The sequence below is a fragment of the Homo sapiens genome, chromosome 12, assembly GCF_000001405.40.
Source record: "Homo sapiens chromosome 12, GRCh38.p14 Primary Assembly".
NCBI lineage: Eukaryota > Metazoa > Chordata > Mammalia > Primates > Hominidae > Homo > Homo sapiens.
The window spans coordinates 75,257,566-75,279,445 of record NC_000012.12 but is presented as its reverse complement, the minus strand read 5'-3'; the positions used below and the strand labels follow the sequence as shown (position 1 = coordinate 75,279,445).

The following is a 21,880-nucleotide window of genomic DNA, read 5'->3' as shown; positions in this document are numbered from 1 at the left end:
AGAAATTTTTGACCCTTTTTCTACTATTATATATGGGCCTCTGTTTATTCTCTTTTCAGTGTTATCTGACCAGTCACTATAGCTTCCTTTCATCTTTCAATTCCTCTGTTCTTTTTAAAAATTTATGATCAAAAAAACTGTGTTCTGTGCTGGGATCCTGGAGATAGATCAGTGCAGGAGAGCAGGGGGCAGGGAAGGAGTGGCAAATCGAATGAGATGAAATAATTCCAGTTCATGTGTAAATAAATTGGCTGGTAGTTTGACAAAAGATTTCAAATTGTTGAAAGTATTTCATAAGATGATTAAGTATTCCTTTATCATCATCAGTCATTTCACTGAACTTTTCAGGAAACTGTTTCATACTCAGTACTATTTTATAGGCCATTCAACAGAGGAAGAAATCAAATCATCCTTTCTAGAAACATTAAAAGTTGCCTGCAGCAAGTCTGATGAAGTGTCATATGGTGAATTTGAAGATTACTATGAAGGTTTAAGTATAGGAATAGTAGATGATGAAGACTTTGTTAACATCTTACGTACTCCATGGGGGATTTAGTCTTTAATAATACATATGTCATCAACACTAAGCATTTTATTGGAGAGATGATATCAATGTAAAGGATGATCAAACACTGGAATATATTTTCCTAGGACTTCCTTTATTCTGGTTTCTTGTTTGTTTGTTTTGTTTTGTTTTGTTTTCTCAAAAATGTTGAATTTGGAAAGAGAACTATCCAGAAAGATAGATGTAGGGGTGTGTTAGTGTTTGTGCATGTGTATGCCTGTTCACATGTCCTTACATTTGTAAAGATATCTTTTTGGTTTATTACTTATCTTGCGTATATTTTAGAGGTCATTTTTTATTAACTTCAGTAGGAAAGTTACATCTGCATCAAACAATATGGCAACATCTATTTATTAACCAAGTTTCCTGTCCTTTCACATTGTTTTTTGCTACCTCTTCCTCAGAATATATTTGCCACCATGGTCAATTTGATAAATTAGAATTGGGCCCAAAGCCAGTGAGATAATTCAATGTGTTTTTAACACATGAAAATATTAAAGGATATGCAAGAGAAATTTTTCAAGCAGTGTGATTATAGATGTTTTCTGTATATAGAATATTTCAAATGATGGAGGTTTACCCCATGATGCTCATTTAAATACTGACTTGTCTTTTAAATCTGTCTTCTAAATTATGTACTGTTGTTGGTTAAATAGAGCACAATGTAGTTATTCTAATGCCCAGTTGTATTTGTTCTTTTATTCTGCTTTTTAACTGTAATCCTTTTTACCAGCATACGATTGTTATTGAGCAATATGAAAGGGAAATGTTCTTTATTAAAATCAATACATTATCTTATTAAACAAAGATCCTAAAAGTATATTGTTGCATATATGAATCCAAGGAATAGTTCAGTAATTATTGCCTAAAATGTGAAAGCATATTTTGTATCCTAAAATGAATGTATGATATTCTAAACATCTGTTTTAGTATAACAAACAATTGAAACATTTCCTTCTAAATATATGTTATTTAATAGTTACATGTATTATAATCATTCTTTCTAAATTCTTTGCTAGTCATTTCTTCCTGGGAATACAGAGAAAAGAGACAACTTTATGAGTTGTTTTCAACTTCATAATTTTAAATTTTCTATGTTAATATAACATAAATTAGAAAAAATAAGTGATTCAAAATGAAAATATTTACTTTGTAGAATATGACTTTAGACATATCACTGTATCCATCTATACTTGGCAGCAACATGAGAAGTGTGATACATGTGAACCCAACAAATTCAAAGTTGCACTTTTCAAGATGTGAGAAGGTACTAAAACTTAATACTAAAACATGAGAGGGAAAATATGTGTAAACCTCTAGTGCTATTTTCACTGGCTAAATTCTTTATTTCTTGATTTTTTTAAAAATTAGGTTATTAAAATTAAAACAATATGCTAGAAGACATTTTGGCAGAAATAAGTCTATAACACTATTTTTGTCACATATCTTTTTCTTGGAAAAATTTATCCAACTATAGACATCTTAAACCCTACAAATTGTTCTTGTTAAAAATGACTAATACTGGGGGTGCTCAATATGCATATAGTGTTTTTCATTGATAATTTTTATTTAGTTCTTAAGAAACCTGTTCTTAATGTTGGCATGTCACATTTTTCTGTTACTATAATCAGAAAATGTATAGTCTGTTATACTGTAAAAAAAAAAAAAAAGGGAAGCTACTTTTGGAATGTAACGTGTTAACATGACAGCATACTCTTAGTATTAATCTTAATCTTCCTAACATAAGCATTCACATGTGGTTATTTGTAGGAAATAGCTCTATTTATGAGATTTTTTTTGGTGTATTTTGTTAGAATTGGTGACACAGTAAATCATTCTGCTTTTGGATTTGCCTGACTGCCTGCATTCTTCTTTGATTTTGGTATAGTAAAATCTGTTATTTAGTGTTAAACTTAATAAAAGAGCATTTAAGAGAAGTGACATTTCAAACATCCACAACACAACTGACTTTTGAAATCCTATGCTTAATAGTCTTTGTAATTCTAAAAGACCTTTTGAAAATGTTAAAATATTAAATTATATGTTGTAATGCTGTTACATGAATTTTATAGTTATGTATATTTTATAGATCTCTATGTCTTTGTAAGTTACTTGCTTGTATGCTATATAATTGCTTTCTCAGTTAACCATACTGTTTATGGAATTGTATATACTGATTTTTCTGTTTTTATATTTTAAAAATAAAAGTTGAGAATTTTAAGGAAAAACATTTTATTAAAAAGACAAGGTATATTATATAGGAATTTTAAGCTAACTTTTAATGGAAAGGACATACATATTTGCATGATGGAGCAATCACATTATAGTTAAACATGTATGTCCCTGTTTTAAATTTTATAGTATATAAATATATGTGCTAATGAACCAGCGACTCTGCATAGAGGCAGTCACTTAGAGTAATTAATAATCTTGATACAGCTGTAGATCATATCTTATTTTACATATTACTTTTGACTTCCAGTTTAAGTTGTTTGTTATCAAGTATTTCAGGAGAGAATTGTGTACATTAGGCTATGTTTACTGCAGATTATGTAACATGCTTTTATGAGATTATAGTTTGTAGTGCTTGCAAATATAAAACATGTACCCTGATAAACTATAATCACTACTAGGTTGACCAGCAAGGACAAACATGAAAATGCTTAAAAAAAAGAAAGCGCTTAAAACAAAGAAATAGAAGGTAATGGGCATATATAAAATAAGCCAAGCAAGAGAAGAGCAAAGACAATCTGCAGGGTGGACATGGATGTATTCGTTTCTGATCATGAGAAGAGGCTCTTGTCATACATATCGTTCCATTTTTATTTTAAAGTTCTATAAACTTCTGAGGTAAACTGATTTCTTGGATGTACTTAATAAAGAATAAATGTTTCATATTGGAGCCACTGTGCACTTAATCATTATTTATTCTGCTAGTCAGTTGTTTGTACAGGGTGAGTGGCACTACCCTTGCAGTAGGCCAAGGCTCTGAGATATTCTAGATTTTTCTCACACTCTCTATTATCCACTCAGTCTCAGGTGCTATTGGTTCTTGAATTTATCCATTGGTTGTTTAAATCTCTCTCGTTCACTGTTTTCAATGCTTATGCCTTAGTTCAAATTCTTACCACTTCTCATGTGTACTCCCCCTCATCAACTCTGCCTCCTTCTCAATCTTGTTTGAACCCATTGATGTTGGAATGCCCTTTTACAATATACATTACTTCCTGAATAAAATTCTTCCCTGATACCTCATATCTCTCAGAAAAGTTCAATCTCTGACCTTAACACATAAAACCTAAAAGATCTGGTTTTCTTAAGCTCATCTCCCTATACTCAGCTCACTCCCCACATTCTTCCAGTCATTCTGAACTATGTAACAGCCTTTAAAATGGATTGTGAGATTTCCAGCCTCTGCGCTTTCATATCTGTTCTGCTACTTTTATCCAAAATTATTTTCTGCACTTAGTGCATTAAATTAATTCATACTGATCTTCAAATACTACCTTAAGAATAATGTCTTCTGAAAAGTTAAATCAGACAAACTCTTGAATCTGATATATTGGGATCCCATTGGCACCCTGGCTGTACCTTTACTCTAGCATTCATCACTTTCTGCTGTACTCATAACTCTGCTTGTGTTTCTCTCACTAGACTGTAAACTTCTTGAAGGTAAGAACAATATCTTATTCAGCTTTGTGATCCTGGTGGGTGTCTAGCAGTGTCTGACATGGGGTAGGCGTTAAATCAATTATTAGTCAGCTGGGTAAATGTGTGATTTATTGAGCAGAAATTGTCAGAGTTCTTGTTTTGGAGCACTTTTGCATCAAAACACTTTAGTAGACTCCAGGTAAATAGTATGAACATGCAATTTTGTGCAAAATTCACCTATGGAAGCTGTAAGTTACCCTAATAATGCACAGAATGCATGTTCTAGCTGGCCACTTTTCCACAAAGCCTCACTACGTAGGGGCTACTATATTCACTTCCATTTTTTGGAACTCGGTCAACATCTGATACCTAGCTAATTAGGCTTCTAAGCATAATTAATTCCATCCATGAAAATAGTGTGCTCTTAGAGCCTTAAAGGAATCTTGGTCCACCCATGGATTAGAAAGACTTCTGGTTGTTCGACTCATAATAAAGTAAGCAGATCCTGTCCTGGAATGTTGCTGCTACTTCCTTGGTGAACCTTTCAAGCAGAGTTATGGTTGAAGTCTCTAAAGGACAAACTGCTGGGATAGCACTGATTTTACAGAACAGGTTGTGTAAACTTTTTTGGCCTCTTTGCTAAGAAATGTTTGTTTAACAAATGTTTATGTGGCAGAACTTATTCTCAAATGTATGTTACTACAACCTAGAAGTAAGGGATGGGGTAGCTAATTTCCACCTACCTCAAAGACTTTTTTGCAGAGAGGGCCATGGTTACCTACCAAAAGGAACCTATTACTTGTGAATGGTTTAATTGGCTTAAGTCAGTTCATAGCTGCAGTTCTCTGTTAAGACACTGTAGTATGCATCACAGACGCAAAAATGGCATGGCATTTAGGCATATACAGTGCCTAAAGTAGTAAAGTTAAAGATACAAATACCAGAAGTCCATAATTGATACAACTTGGGCCTAAACTAGGTGCAGCAGAGCATTTAAGACCTGCATATGTCATCCTAGGGGAGTAATAATAATTCACTATTCTGAAAACATATGATTTATTAAGGTATTGAAATGGAATGACAGTATTTTAATATAAAATACTGAAATGGAATGACAGTATTTTAATATAAAATACTGAAATGGTAAAGATTTTGGAGATTTGATTGTATAAATTGTGAAAATGTACTAATGGATATACATTTTCAGATTTCTCTCTTTAATCTTATATAAGCTGATTTGTATAATTTTTGGATATCCAAGCAAAGTAAAGTCATTTGGAAGGATTTGAAGAAGCAATTACCTATCCAGTGGACAAATTTTATTCAAGGAAAGAAAAAAATCAAGTTCCTTGTTGCTTTTAACTTTCCCTTTTATCAGATTAGGATGGGACTTCCAAGCCATGTCTAAATGAATTTAATTATAAAGTGTAAAGATTCTCACCTTCACAAATACATGTTGAATTTCCTGGGAATTTTTAATGATGATAAAGCCGATATGAAACAAATGACTGTGTTTCAAGGAAATCGTGTTTCACTTATGAAAGTTGCATATTTATCTAGGAGCTGAAGAGTTTTATCGAGGAACTTTTTAGAAAGCATGTTATAAATGAAAAGTTATTTTGAGGAAGCATTCAGATGACCATTTTATTAAGAAAAAGTATGTACTTATATTAGTATTTTAATATAAATGATGTGGAATGAGCACAGGCTTTGAAATCACTGAATACTGACTTCAGACTTGAGCTCTTCTACAAATTAGCTGCATGACTTTGGGAAGCTATTGAGTCTCTACTTCAACTGCAGGTTGATGCGAGTATGGAATATAGATAGATATGGATATAACAGAGATGTAGATATAGATATAGTACTTACCGCAGTCTAACATGTGTGCACACACACACACATATGTATATTCTGAATACTCTATTTCCTCTGTTTTCTTCAATTAATTAAAAGCTTTTCTTTTTTTTTTCCCTGATTATCCTGAATGGCAATTATAAGAGCTATTCTTTTAAAAACATATTTTTACTAGGTAGGAATAATTTGTATGCCACCACTTCCTCCTGAATTTAATAAGCCTCTCATTATTATTAATTATCTTTCTTCAGCAGCATCCATGAAAGAAAATCAAAACCTTGCATTAGGGCTATTAACTCTTTTCCTTCAAAGCATGTAACAAGGTGGCAGCTTAAAAAAGGAGTTAGTAACAAAATTGGTGTTATTCAAATTAACTGGAAAATGATACATATGTGAGGCTAATTTTGTCTTTAAAGAACTTAGGCAGCATTGCTATTTTCTCTGGTGTACACACTAAGACCACTGATGATCCTGAATTCTGTAACATGTGTTTTCCAAACAGAGCTGCAGTAGTATCTCTCATCCCATATACTCTTACATAGTGAACTTGGCTTAGCATCAAGAGATGGGCTCTGTGTCCCCTCTGCTTGAATCTGGGTGACTTGTTAGTAGTCTCTGGCAGTCACTAGATTGTATCTAAAGTGATGCTGTGTTACTTTCCAGACTAGGCAAAAAAAAAAAATGCAATGTAGTTTCTGCCTTGTTTGCTGGGACACTTGAGCCACCAGGTAAGAAGTCGGACTACCTGAGACCGCCAAACTAGAGGGGCCACATATAGGTGCTCTGGTTAACAGCTAGAGCTGACCTCTCAGCTGAGAGCTAACCTCAATTGTCTACATGTAAGTGAAATGTCTTGGGTTGATTGCACCTCTAATCAACACCTTACTACATTCACCTAAAAGATCCCAAGTGAGAACTATGCAGCCAAGCTCTTCAATATTCTTGTGAACAAAGTAAAATGGTTGGTTTCAATTGCTAAATTGTGTGTGTGTGTGTGTGTGTGTGTGTTTTCAATAGTAAGTAGAGCAAATCCTTAAATAGAATTTGTGTGTATGTGTGTTTATAATAGTAAGTAGAGCAAATCCTTACATAGAATTTGAATAAGAGCAAGAATATTAAAAACATTTTGTCAAATATACTGAGGAGTTAATATGACCCACAGTTGACAAAATTCTTCTGAGATATTAAAAGAAAAATAATACAGTAAGTCTATATGATCTAAGTTGTGTGGAATAAAGTGATCTGATAGAATAAAAGAGAACCCTCCAGCTCAATTCCAATAAGTCAGGCAAGATTTTATCTTTGTTGTCTCATAGTCTGAGGCAGAAATTGTGAAGAACTAAATTCAGAATCTGAACCTTACTGTGATGGTTAATATTGAGTGTCAACTTGATTGGATTGAAGGATGCAAAGTATTGTCCCTGGGTGTGTCTGTGAGGGTGTTGCCAAAGGAGATTAACATTTGAACCAGTGGACTAGGAGAGGCAGACCCACCCTCAGTGTGGGTGGGCATCATCTAATCAGCCGCCAGCGCAGCTAGGATCAAAGCAGACAGAGGAATGTGGAAGAACTAGACTGGCGTCTTCCGGCCTCCATCTTTCTCCCATGCTGGGTGCTTCCTGCTTTCAAAGATCAGACTCCAAGTTCTTCAGCTTTTGGACTCTTGGACTTACATCAGTGATTTGCCAGGGCCTCTCAGGCCTTTGTCCACAGACCAAAGGCTGCACTATAGGCTTCCCTACGTTTGGGGTTTTGGGACTTGGACTGGCTTCCTGGCTCCTTAGCTTGCAGACAGCCTTCACCTTGTGATCACATGAGTCAACTCTCCTAATGAAGTCCCCTTCATGTATACTCTATTCTATTAGTTCTGTCCCTCTAGAGAACCTTGACTAATACACTTACCTATCTGTGTGTGTGTGTGTGTGTGTGTGCATGTGTATGTGAGTTTTCTTGAGTAGGTTCTAATAGATATAGGCCCACCTAGAGTGGAAAAGGAAACTTTTGAGAGTTTCTTCCAAGACAGAAAAGGGAAGAGTGTTTCTGGTTCTGAGGGCATAGAGCCATGTTCCCTGTTTTCTGGCAGCAATTGCCTGGGGAGATTCTGGGCCCTCAGAGGAGAGTGTCTGTGTGGCAAACACCGGGCACCCAGGCTGTTAATCCCAGATATGACTCCCAGGTTTCAGAGATATCACCTTCAAGGGACCATAAGGGCTTGAATAATTAATTTATTAATTCATACAGTTATCAATTTAACCATTCGTTCATTCAACACATATTTATTGAGTAGTTTTATGAGACATTGTTCCAGGTTCAAGAGATACGTCCAAGAACAGTATGCACAAATTGCCTGCCCCAAACAGTTCAATTTATAGTGGTAGGAGATAGTAATCAAGTAAACAAATAAGATAATTTAGTTAAATCATTTTAAAAAGAAGAAAAAATAAATAGTACGAGCAGAGAGTGAATAGGAAAGTTCTTACAGGTGGTGACATTCTATCTGAGACCTAAATGAGGCAAAGCAGAGGAGAAAGAGCATTCCAGATACAAGAAACAGTTAGTAAATAAGGCCCTGAAGTGCCGATGAGTTTGGTGTGTTCAAGGGAAAAAAAAGTTTCCCTAGGATGAAGAGAATGTTAGGAGATGAGATTGGGGAGGTAGTAAAGTATTGGATCATATAAAGCCTAATACTCCATAAGAAGGAGTTTGGATTTATAGTCAAAGCCCAAGGAAAAGCAGAGAAGTGCTGTGATCTGAGTTTGTACTTTGGAAAGATCACTCTGAAAGCTAGCAGAGATACGGATTTGGGCTGGAGGCTAGGAGACCTACTAAGGGGCTACTTCCATAGTCCTAGTCTGAGATTATGGTAATTTGGACTAGCTAGGGCTTTAGCTTTGGAGACGGTGAGATGTAGTTAGATTTGTGATTTTAGAGGTAGTGTCAACAGTACATGTAGGTGGACCGTGTACTGTAAGAGAAAAAGAGGAAGCAAGCATGACGGCTAGAATGAGCAACTGGGTGGCGGTGGTGATGCCATTTACTAAGAATGGGGAAAATTAGTGGTGAAACAGGTTTGAGAGGAAAAAGCAAACACTTGCTTTGTCCATAGGTTAAGAGTCTTTATCCATAGGTTAAGACATTTCTAAATAGAAATGTCAAATGAGTAATTGGATTTATAAGTAAAGAGCTCAGGAAAGAGGCCAGGGTTGGTGATACAGAATCATCAGTACATAAGTGGCATCTGAAGTCTTGAGACTTCTTGAGGCTCTTTGGGGAATGATATAGACAGAAAAGATGGCAAAGGATTGAGCCCTAGAATACATTTAGAACTATAATAAGAGTAAAGTGGCCAACAAAAAAGGCTGAAACAGGTTGGCCAAGGATGTGGGTGGGAAGTCAGAAGAACATAGTGACATGGAAGCCAAGAAATTAAACTGTAATCAAGTATGGGAAATAATAAACTATGTTGAATAAAATGAGGGCAAACATGCAGTCACTGGATTTGACAACATGAAATGGTGGAGAAAAACCAAATTGGACTGGTTTGAAGAGAAAATGAAAAATGAGGACCAGGCATGGTGGCTCACACCTGTAATCCCAGTGCTTTGGGAGGCTAAGTCGGGCAGATTGCTTGAGTCCAGGAGTCTGAGAGCAGCCTGGGCAACAGAGTGAGACCCTGACTTTACAAAAAATAAAAAGATAAAAAAAAATTAGTCAGGCATGGTGGCACAGGCCTGTAGTCCCAGCTTCTCAGGAAGCTGAGGTGGGATGATCACTTGAACCCAGGAGATCCAGGGTACAGTTAGCCGTGACCATGCCACTGCACTCCAGCCTGGACAACAGAAAGACCTTGTCTCAAAAAAAAAAAAAAAAAAAAGAAAAGAAAAGAAAACGAAATTGAGAATGTGGTTTTAATAATTGTGAGATGGCCCTTTTGAGGATTTTTACCTCAAAGTGAAACAGAGTTATGGGGCAGTAACTAGTGGTGAGTGTAGGGTTGAGAAAGATTTTTGTCCCCCCTTTTTTTTAACATAGCAAATAATAGAGAATGTTTTCATAATAATGATACTTCATTACAGTAACCATTGTGAATTGAAGACCAGAGGCCATACTCCAAATATTCTGACTTGTGTGAGATCTCCAGGCCCCTGTGGGATCAATCATTGGCAGAGGAAAGCCCAGTCCCTGAACAATTAATATTGAATGTCCTGCCAGCTGGGTTACAGTCACAATGAGGCAAGTAAGGCACACACCCATGCATAATATTTAAAGCAGCACCAAAAAAACCCCACCTTTAGCAATCAAATGAATAATATTTTAATATATAAATGTTAACATTAATTTTAAAAGATCCAAAATGAACAAAATATTGTAGATGAAGACAGAATCAGGAAGAGTGATGGACAGAGCTATATTGGAGACTGAAGCAAAAGAAAAATCTGTCATACTGATCTTGTCTATATTTAAATGTTTTATATTTTGTTCAACATAAAGTTTTTGGATCAATTTTTATTTTTTAAAATATAACATTAAAATAAAATTTATCTTGACTATTGAATTTTTTGGTGTCTCTTGAATTTTTCATGAAAGGGCAGGTGCCTCTATTGACTCACACCAGCCCCAGCCCTACCTGCCAGCCTACGGGATGGGGACTCAAAACAGACTGCACTTTATTCAGAGAAAAAACAAAATGTGAATATTTTACAAATATTAGAAGAATATACCATGGGCTTCAGGATTTGATTTCTAAAAAAATCCTTGAATTTAGTGCCTCAAGTTACAATATCAATTTTTATTTTCCATTGAAAGTTTTGTGGTGAGAAAATTTTAAATATATGGTTCTCATACTTCATTAAGAATGTCTTCTATTTCTACTTTAGTGACTTGCCTACTACAGACACTCAAGGGAGGTCAAGTGTATTATTGTGCAGAATAAAACGCTTGGCCAGGCACAATAATAAGCCTCAGATCTCTGTTATCAAAAAGTGATTCTCCTTAAAAACTGAGGGGATGAAATGAGACAAAATATAAAGTTCTTGGAACATAGGTGTGCAAAATGGCTTTAGTTACTGTTATTGGTTGAATTATAACACCTCCTGCCCCAAATTTTGTATTTTGACATCCTAAGTCTCAGTGCCTCAGAATGCAACTTTATTTGGAGATACAGTCTTCACTGAGTTAAGCAAATTAAACTGAAGTCGTGAGGGTGGTTCCTAATTCAATATGATTGGGGTCTTAAGAGGGGAAATTTGGACACAAATATATATACAGGGAGAAGACTGTGTAAAGGTACAGGGAAAACATCGCAGGAACGTGAAGATGGCCATCTGTAAGCCAGGGTGAGAGTCCTGGGTCAGATCTTTCACTCACAGCTCTCAGAAAGAACCAACCCTGCCCACGTATTGATTTTAGGCTTCTAGCCTCCAGAAATGTAAGACAATAAACATACCTATGTTTAAGGTGAATAGTTTGTGGTAGTTTGTTAAGGAAGCCCTAGCAAACTAATACAGTCACCTCTGCCTTTCTGCTGTTTCTGTCCTGCCTCCTCATTTCACACAATGCCATAGCACCTATTACTAATTGCAGAGAACTTAGTGCCTGGAAAAAGTAGTCTTTTTGTTTTTAGTGTAAACCTGACTATCCAAAGGTTGATGAGTCCTTAACCCCCATCCTACTTACTTATTTATTCCCCAAATCCATTTCCAACTCCCTGTCATTCACCTTCTGCTTGAGACTTACCTGACCTAGGAATAAATTCTAATCATGAAAGTAACAGACATAGTTTGTTAGTAAATACATCTTCCTTTGTAGCTATTTTCTTGAGAAATTTTAGCAGAGTGCGTTACCATATACTATACTATACTATACTATACTATACTATACTATACTATACTATACTATACTATAGTATACTATACTTGTAGTCAGTGTTTTAAGAAGAGGAGAAATGGGGTTCCCAGGTCATTACAAAATTGATGTAGGTGGGAAGGGAAACTTAAACTTGAAAAGTCCTGGAAGAATTGAAATCCAGGCTTAACTTTTTTTGAAAAATTTGTACCTTTACAATTTTAAGTTTCTAAATTCTGCATGGAGTTTATATTTTTAGATAAATAATGTTGAAACGTTGGCATTCCGTTATAATTTTAAATTGTTTTAAGTTGACAGATAAAATTGTGTGTATTTGCCATGTATTAATACAACGTGACGTTTTGAAGTATATACACATTGTGAAATGACTATCTGTAGCTAATTAACATATGCATTATATCACATAGGTATTATTTTTGTGGTAAGAACATTTTACATCTACTCACAGGATTTTTCAAAAATTCAATATATTATTAACTATAGTCAACATATTGTACAACGGATCTCTTGAATTTCTTTCACCCTTTTAACTAAAATTTTGTAACCTTTGATCAACATCTCCCCAACATCCCACCCACCCTCCAACCACCCTAGGCCCTGGTAGCCACCATTCTATGCTATATTAGTAGGAGATCAACTTTTTTAGATTTTATGTATGAATGAGACCACAAAGTATTTGTATTTCTGTGCCTGGTTTATTTCACTTAACATAAGGTCCTCCAGGTTCATCCAAGCTGTTGCAAAGTACAGGATTTTCTTCTTTTTTATGCCTGAATAGTATTCCACTATGTATATGTACCACATTTGTTTATTCATTTATCTGTTGATGGACACTTAGGTTGATTTCGTATCTTGGCTATTGTTACTAGTGTTGCAACAAACATGAAAGTACAAATGTCTCTTCAAGTTACTGATTTTATTTCCTTTGCAAATATGCCCAGTAGTGGGATTGCTGGATCATATGGTAATTATATTTTTAATTTTTAAAGAAATTTTCATTCTGTTTTTCATGATGGCTGTACTAATTTTCATTCCCACCAACAGTGTGCAAAGGTTTCCTTTTCTGCACAATCTTGCCAACACTTATCTTTTGTCTTTCTGATAATAGTCATTTTAACAGGTGAGAGGTTTTAATATGCATTTTATCTGATGATTAATCATGTTAAGCATTTTTTTCATATACATGTTGGTCATTTGCATGTTTATTTTTTAGAAAGTCTATCGAGGTCTTTTGCCCATTTTTTAATCAGGTAATTTGTTTTCTTGCTATTAAGTTTTTTTAATTCCTTATATAATTTGCGTATTAACCCCGATAAGATAAATAGTTTGCAACTATTTTCTTCCATTCTGTAGATTCTCTATTCACTCTGTTGATATTTTCCTTTACTAGGCAGAAGCTTTAGCATGATATAATTTGATTTGTATTTTATGATTTGTTGCCTGTGCTTTAGGGGTTATATTAAAAAAGTCATCACCCAGACCCATGTCATGGAGCTTTTCCTGTATGTTTTCTTCTAGTAGTTTCATAATTTCGGGTGTTACATTTAAGTGTGCAATTCATTTTGAGTTAATTTTTTATATGGTGTGAGATAAGGGCATAATGTCATTCTTCTGCATATGTATATCCATTTGTCACAACACCAGTTATTGAGGAGACTGTCCTTTCCCCATTGTGTGTTCTGGAAATCTTTGTCAAAAATTAATTGGCTGTAAGTGGATGGATTTATTTCTTTGTTCTCTATTTTGTTCCATTGGTCTATGTGTCTGTTTTTAATGCCAGTGCCATGCTGTTTTCGTTACTTTAGCTTTGTAGTATATTTTGAATTCAGATAGTGTGATGTTTACAGCTTTGTTCTTTTTGCTCGAGATCGCTTTGTCTATTCAGGGTCTTCTATGGCTCCATATGAATTTTAGGAATGTTTTTTCTATTTCTGTGAAGAATGTCATTGGTATGTTGCTGGAGATTGTATTGAATCTATAGAGCACTTTGAGTCATAAGGACATTTTAACAATATTAATTCTTCCAATCCATGAACATAGGATGTCTTTCCATTCATTTGTGTCTTCTTCAGTTGATCTCATCAATGTTTATAGTTTTCAGTGTAGAGATCTTTCACCTGCTTGGTTAATTTATTTAATTTTATTAAATAAAATAAGTACTTTATTTTCAATGTTATAATTTTAATGCTACATCTATGGCTTGTAAACACATCTTGTTTTAATTGTGTTATACTTTCTTTTTGGATTCACTCATGAAAAAAATATTTATTGAGAATCTATAATGTGCCAGTCATTGTTATAAGCATGCCTGTGAAAAAATATAAGTCTCTTGGAGCTTACATTCTAATGGGGGTGTGTGAAGATATGTGTAAATAATAAACATAACACATAAATAAATAACATAGTATGCTAGAAGGTGACTGAATATAAAAGTTTAAAAAATAGAGCAGGATATGAGAAATCTGTAGGAGGATGGGCATATCTGAAGTAGAATGTTCAAGCTGGGCGTTGAGAAAGTGACTTGAAAATGAGAAAATGCACTCTACAAAAACCTGGAAGATAATGGACAGCTAGTGCAGATGACCTAGGGGAGGAGTGTGCCATGTGTGTTTGAAAAGCAGTGAGGTGGCCAGTGTGGCTAGAGCTAAGAAAGTTGGCAGAGTAAAAAAATGCAGTCAGGGGGTTCAGACGAGGTATATCAGGTTGAGCTATACTGGCCATTACACTTTGGATACTACTCTAAATCTCTTCTTTAAGAGCTACTCATTCATTCAAACATCCATTTATTTAACAAGCATTTATGATTGTCTGGAATATGCTAGAGGCTGTGCAGACACTGGTGGTGTGAAGTAGAATAACACATACTTTTTTTCTTCAAGAAGCCTTGTGGATCCTGGAGACTACAGATTAAGATTAGTAACTATAAATGTGATAAGTGGTTGGCAGCATGGCTATGTAGAAATTACCCTAGGGCATGTGTATTTGTAGATGTGTTGTGAAATTGAGAGAAAAGAGAGGTAAGATGATGCTTGAGGTAAGTTTTAAAGGAGTTTCCTAAGGCAATGAAGGTTGCAGGACAGAGGATAAGATTTTGATGCTTTTCCTAATTATGTTTTCCTTTCACATTTTAGTATCACTCAGGAGGTAACTATTCTATTTCTGAAATTTCATATAAACAAAATAAAAATGTCTTCAGGTCTAACCTGTAATGCTAGAAATATTGAGTCTCTTTCTTTCATGCTCCATTGCATTCTGGGTATCTTTTGCTTTACTTTGCTGCTTGTGTTTGTTTCTATCAATTTTTATCTTTCTTGAGAGGGCAGTTGGGATTTTCTTCCTTGTTCATCACTGTATTACTATTGGCTAGTGCTGTTCCTCGCCTTAGGTCTGGCATGTAAATACACAAAAGATATTTGTCGAATGACATTAATACAAAAAAATTGCATCTGCCTAAACAATCCTAATACTTTTGGACCGTTTTTACATCAAATGTTTTATGCTTTTTATCTTTTCTGTCTCTCTTCTTTCTCATTTTTTATGACTTATATGTGAAGAGCTGACATTTTTGAAAGCATGCTTTGATCCAAAAATTATTGTAATTATTTAAAATCCACAGCAACCACTGCTTCTTCTTGGTGTTTGTATTTTACCCTTTTTTAATGACAATTCTTTTATCTTCTCCTTCTTGCTATTATTTGCATATCACTAAAGTGAGTTTACAGGACATCCAAAGATTTTATTCAGAGTTTTCCTGTAATCCTTCAGTCATTGGTATTCTAGATACCATTCCCTATTGTTCTCTGAAGAAAGATATTTGAATGGAAAAGATGTTGGATGTTGGTATATAGTAGAAAGGCCCCTGCAGCCACCATGCAGTAGGGACAACTTGAGAGTATACTCTAGCAGTCCTGGGTCACATGCTTTTTTTTTTTTTTTAACTTTTAAGTTCAGAAGGCCAACAAACATATGCAAAAAAAGCTCAACATCACTGATCATCAGAGAAATGCAAATCAAAATCACAATGAGATCCCATCTCACACCAGTCAGAATAGCTATTATTAAAAAGTCAAAAAATAACAGGTGCTGGTGAGGTTGCAAAGAAAAAGGAAAGCTTACACACTATTGGTGGGAGTGTAAATTAGTTCTACCATTGTGAAAGACAGTGTGGCAATTCCTCAAGGACTTAAAAACAGAACTACCATTGGACCCAGTAATTTCATTACTGAGTAAATGTCCAAAGAAATGGAAATTGTTCTTTCATAAAGACACATGCATGCGTATGTTTGTTGTGGCACTATTCACAATAGCACACGCTTTCATTTTAAGAGTTCTGAATATGTCACTCCACTATCATTGGCAGTTTGAAGCTTTCTAAAATTTGATTTGCTGATAGTTGACTGTTTGCTTTTGAAGTTTGGGAATTTTTTTTTCCAAAAAAAATCTTTTACTTTATTGGAGCAAGATTCCTGATCAGTATACAGTGATGTATTTACTAAACAGAGACCTGTGCTGAAATTACATACTATCCATCTAGATAGGTTGCTACATTTTTGCTTATCGATAGAATAGTCCCATTTATCAAGTTTATATATCAAAAAGCTTTTCAATTTCACCAGGCTGTTCACTAATTCACCTCTGAAAAAGTGGCATTTAATTTCAGCTACTATATTTTACAGCATTAAAAAGCTTATGCATTAGGGTGCTTCTCCACACAATGGCATTGAGCAGACAGAGTATTACTGAAATTTAAGGCTTTTAGTAGAACGTATCACAATATTGGCTTCAGCTTCTTTGACACCAAATGTAATTTTTCTCATTTTCATTTTTGTTACTTTTAGTTTTACATAATTTAAAGATATCTTAATGTTATAATGTTGACTATCAATTTTCTCCAATATTCAGATGTTTTCTGCAGCTATTTTAAGGTTAGATTTCAATGGTCATGGCCTAATATTCATATCCATGTTCTCTTTCTTTAAATTTTTGCTGTTTTTCATATTTTTCTTGACTCTATCTTTTGTTTTACAAATGTTTATGTGTCATTATATCTTTTTAAAAATGAAAGATATTTCTCAGTGAAGTCCCATTAATGTTTTCTTATTTACCTGTGTTACTTTGCGAGCTCCCCTCTTCCATCCTTGATTTAGGCCCTATCAATTGTATCTCTAGAACCAGCTTTGCCTCACAACCTGGTGAGAAGTTATATTTTTAAAAAATTGAACAAAATAAAATGCATATGTCTACGTGTGTCTGTACACACACACACCCACACAAACATTCTATTTTGTACTTTCTCTGTTTCAGTATTATTTTCCGATTAAAGTCTTAAATCCTAGTTTATTTATTAAAGTCTCACTTGGGTTCCTCATGGTTGGCTAATTCTGAAGCTGTAGATAACCACTAATCTTAATTGAAAGTATTTGGGTCTAATTACTTTTTACCCTTAAGCAAGCCCATAGTTCTTTTCATTTATTCTTTCTTTCAACAAGCGCATATTGAGAAATTACTATATGTCAGCACTGTGCCAGGCCCTGAGAGTATATAACACAAATTATGCATTCACTACCTGCATGTGACTATTTGTCCAGTGTATGAAATCACTATTTGATTATGTAATTATTTAATATAAAGAACTGTGGAAGCCCCAGCAATGTGCTAGTGGCATCTGATCAGAGAAAACTGCTTATAAAAGTTGAAGCTAGAAATGCTTCTTAAGGGATGATGAGGAGTTCATTAGTGAATAACAAGAATGGAGGTAGGAGAAGTGGGGAAGAGAAAGAAAAGCATTCTAGATGGGCCCAGCATGGACAAATCCACAGAAGTGAAGAACAGCATAGTATGTGGTATGTATATTTGTTTGTATAATGTGCATGTACAGTAAATGTACAGTTTGTATAGTGTGCACTTGTACAGTACAGTTTTTGCTGGAATTTGACTAGCAAATTGAAAAAATTAAAGTCCATAAAGTGTGTTTAAAATTTGTTTAAAATAAAAGATAAAATGAAACTCTAAACAATACTATGGTGCAGAAAAGGATTGTGAAAGGTGGTGTGATGGGTTGGGAAGGGAGGTGGAAATGCTATTAAATTTTGTTAAAAATTATAGTGACGTATTCATGTGAAAATTTTAGTGGAAACCACCAAAAAAATTATAAAAATATAGTTTGTCATCATGGATGAAAAAAGGATGCATAAAACTGTTTATCAAGTGGATAACAAAGATGGAATCTAAGGAAAACTTCAATTAAATGGAAACCACAAAATAAGATTGTTGTAAGGTTCTAAAATGTCAGTACCATGATAAATACAATTGGACTAATTTCACCTGGCAGATTTTACCAGATTAGATAAAATATAAAATTTTATCAAAATGGATAAAAAGAATAAAATTTTAGCCACATGCTGCTTACATGCAATACCCAAGTTAAATTACCTACTTGCCTAAATTAAAGCCACACAGAAATGGATGAGGATATGTATACCACTTTTTGAAATGACCAAAAGAAAGCTGATATAACTAAGTTAATATCAGACAAGGCAAAAAGCATTTATAAGGATAAAGTGGGGGTACTATTTAATATTAAGAATAAGAATGTAAAAGGGAAAGGGATAAAAAAACAGGATGTGCTGATGGAATAGTAGGTAGCTTGGGACAAGATGGCATGGAGCTTACACATGAATGAACTTTTAGACTATGTAGAAAAAAGAGTGGGATGGGAGAATGGGTATAACCTAATTGTTGGGAGGCTTCTCCTGTTTGTGGTTAGAGAAATAGGGTTAGAAATAAGGGAAGGCGACATGTTCATCTATACACAGGGGCTATTAACCACTCACCTATGAAAAAAGCATTAGTCTCACTTCTGAGAGTCTTCAAAGTGGTATTTCACATGTTCCCGGAACATATTCTACCAGTTGCATTAACTGTGCTTGTGGTCTGTGAAGGGATTAGGTCTTAATCTTGGTATTTGCATCAGTTATCTGTTCTCAGGATCTTGTGGTTCACATTTTAGAACTATAGATACACAATAAGCTACAGGAGGCTGATTACTCAACAAAAGGTTACTGCACTAATGTTTAGACAAGCCAAGATGGTTCTATACATCAGCCAAGATAGTTCCTGCCAGCAGAGGTTGAGGAAGCTTTCTTCTCCTACATTCTGTACCCCCTTTTTCTTATTATATATGCAATGTTGTCAATGGTATAGACTCCAATCATAGAAGGCAGCCCTGGATGGGAATTGAAAGGCTGGTGAGCACATATTAAGGTGGCAAATGAATTGTTAGGTCAGATTTAAATTTGGGGGGAAACCGAAAGTCTATTACTTAATATGACTCCTAGGCATTTACTCATTGACTAGAACAGCATTAGACAGGATCTCTCTTCCAAATGCCCACAAGTATAGTATGGAACTGAAGTCAGCTATTGGCTAGACTTCAGGTATCAAGGTAAATTCAGATTGGCTTCTGTCATTTGCAACATTGTTTCAATCTACATAATAGATGGTGGTGCTTTGTCTCAAATGATGTCACTGGATTAGGATGCTGGCTGCTAGCTGGTTCAAATTCTGATTATATTTTGAATGTAAAACCAAAAGTATATTCTAATACTATATATGATATATGGCATTATACATTGTCTCAAACCATATATCCCAACTTATAACGTTGTCCAATGTTTTAAAAATATCGACAGTTAACTATTGAGCCCATACACTTAAATTTGGCAGATTGATTGTTCTTGTCCATCAGCTCTTCTCTCTACAAGCTTCATAAAAGTATCAATAAGAATAAAAGACAACACATAAGGACAAAGAGAACATAGACAATAGTGCATGAAGGATTTCAAAAAAAAGTTGAAAAAGAGCAAACTAATGAAGAAGATACTATGGATTTAGCAGCCTAGAAGTAATAGGAATCCAAACAAATGCCTGCTGGAGATGGGATACCTATAAGAATTGATCTAATTTGCCTTGCTGAATGCTTGGAACATGGGGTGAGGTCTGTGATTACAATATGATTGGTTGAAAATCTATATACAAAGTGGTTGAACTTTCCTAGTCCCCACCACTTCCCTGAGCAGTCAGAAAGCTACCCCACCCACATCTATCAGAGGAAATAGGAGGCTTAGCCTAGTGAAACTAAGACAAAGAGCCTCTGGATTCAGAGACTACAGGCATCGCATAAAGTAGGGCAGAGTTCAAGGACTAAGAATAGTAGGATTATGCAAAAATCTACATATTTAAATGCAAGACTAATAGGCTGTTTCTCCTGCTTCCTCCTAGAATCCTGGATAGCAAAGTTTATACCCTCCCCTTACCAACACACATCAATGCTCATCTTCCAATCAACTTCTCATTTTCACATATGAACAAATCTCTGACTATTAGTAGACATTTGAGGAAAGACACTTAGGTGACAGACAAAAATAATCATAAAAAAAAACCTGGACAAAAACAAAGGCAGTCAATGGAGCAAAAGAAGCAAACTAAAAAGCCATAGTTAATATCCTCAAGGAGATAAGAGAAGAGAATCTTTCTTTAAAACAGAAATGGGGTCTTATGTAAAAAGGACAATAAGAGAACTAGAGCTTTTGGAAACTAAAAATACAGTGAACAAGAAGAAGTTTGCTTCAGCCCCTGTTGGCAATGGCATGGCCTACAGCTGCCAGGAGACCAGTAGTATGGAAGAGAAGGTACTGCAAGTGGGAGTGTGGGTATAGGCAATTGCATGAAGTTGGGACTATGAACCCGAGGAGGACATGGCAATGGCAGTGGAGGGTTGGATGCCTGAGCTGGCAGGTCCCTGACACAGGAAAGAGTCTATCATATTCCTCTGCACCCAGTCCTCTCTTGGTCAGACATTACATCTCCCACCTGGTGAAGAATTTGGGGTTGTAGGTCTTAGCAGTCTGGAATGGGTCCAGTTATCTGAACTGTTGAGACTCTACCTAAAACAGGAATAGAAAATCCAACTATGAGAACTAAGAGATGAGCTTGATAGAGCGACTCTTGAGAATGATAACATTTTGTATCAAATATAAAAAATATTAAGATCTAAGAGGTTTAACTAACTTTTTTTGAATCTTCTCCAGAAACTTTTATTGTGGCTGCCAATATTTTGGACAGATCCTTGGCTTTTCTGAAGTTGAAACCTAAAATTCATCTTTCACTGGGGTCTGTTGTTTATGCTGATTGCCAGAATAGTTGAAAAAGAATGCCATGTTTTATCTACTCATGAAGTAATCTTGATTCGTCAATGTAAACGCACTGCTTCTTCTGACAGAAAACTGATGGAAAAATAATTTCAGAAAAAAATTTGGAACTATGAATTGGAACGTACTGTACCTTAAACTTCTTTTGCTTCTATAAGACTCATATTTCTTTATATTTGAGAAAGGAAAGAAATATTGGGCCTTATAAACCGGAAGCTCAGCTGAAAACTTGCAATTTTTTGCTAATGTTTTCAAAAGCAAAACCATCTGTATTAGTTTTGTGTCTTCTTAATCTGGAAGTAGAACTGTTGTAATTTACTGAATTATTGAAAAATGTCCTGCTTCTTATAAGGCATTCAAAGATTAATGACACCGAATTCTTTTAGTGGAGGGAACTAGTTTCTAAATGCCTAGCTGAATATTTTCTCTATGTGTTGGAAGAAATTGCTTTGCATTGTTTCTAGATGCAGAGCCCAGACCCTCCAAGACAGCTACTGTGGTGTTCCTAAATTGTCAACAATATTGGAGGATAACTGTCCTGATGAAAGTGAAAGTGAGGACTCTGAAGATGTGAGTTGTGGGGAATGAAGTCTCAGCAGCTTTCATCGCAGAGATCAAAGACGTACATCTTTTTGAACTTGAAAGTGACACAGTCTCTGTGCTTTCCATTTTAGAAATCTAATTGTATTATGTCAAAATTTAAAGGATGTGTATGGTTTATAAGCAGTGAATG

General features: G+C 35.0%; 1 protein-coding gene, 1 long non-coding RNA gene and 1 pseudogene across 34 annotated transcripts in view; 2 read left to right on the top strand and 1 right to left on the bottom strand.

The window, feature by feature from the left end:
* CAPS2 (calcyphosine 2) overlaps positions 1–3,467 on the top strand; it is a 114,923-nt gene extending 111,456 nt beyond the window's left edge. For 28 of the 32 annotated variants that reach the window (NR_149156.2, NR_149158.2, NR_149155.2 and 25 more), the window contains one exon: positions 381–3,467. Coding sequence is in view for 24 of the 32 variants with exons in the window: in NM_001355026.2 (NP_001341955.1) it covers positions 381–556 (176 nt within the window). In the remaining 8 variants the exon portion in view is untranslated. The remainder of the gene's footprint in view (positions 1–380) is intronic. The other 4 variants (NM_001355027.2, NM_001286547.3, NM_032606.5 and 1 more) reach the window with 2 other exon arrangements.
* The window catches only part of CAPS2-AS1 (CAPS2 antisense RNA 1), a 40,096-nt gene extending 18,840 nt beyond the window's left edge, over positions 1–21,256 (bottom strand). Inside the window, exons 1-3 of one of the 2 annotated variants that reach the window (XR_001749212.2) lie at positions 21,008–21,256; positions 20,810–20,883; positions 18,772–18,871 (exon numbers count right to left, since the gene is read on the bottom strand). This is a non-coding gene — a long non-coding RNA (CAPS2 antisense RNA 1). The remainder of the gene's footprint in view (positions 1–18,771; positions 18,872–20,809; positions 20,884–21,007) is intronic. The other variant, XR_001749213.2, reaches the window with a different exon arrangement.
* On the top strand, positions 20,836–21,711 carry CCNG2P1 (cyclin G2 pseudogene 1; annotated as a pseudogene).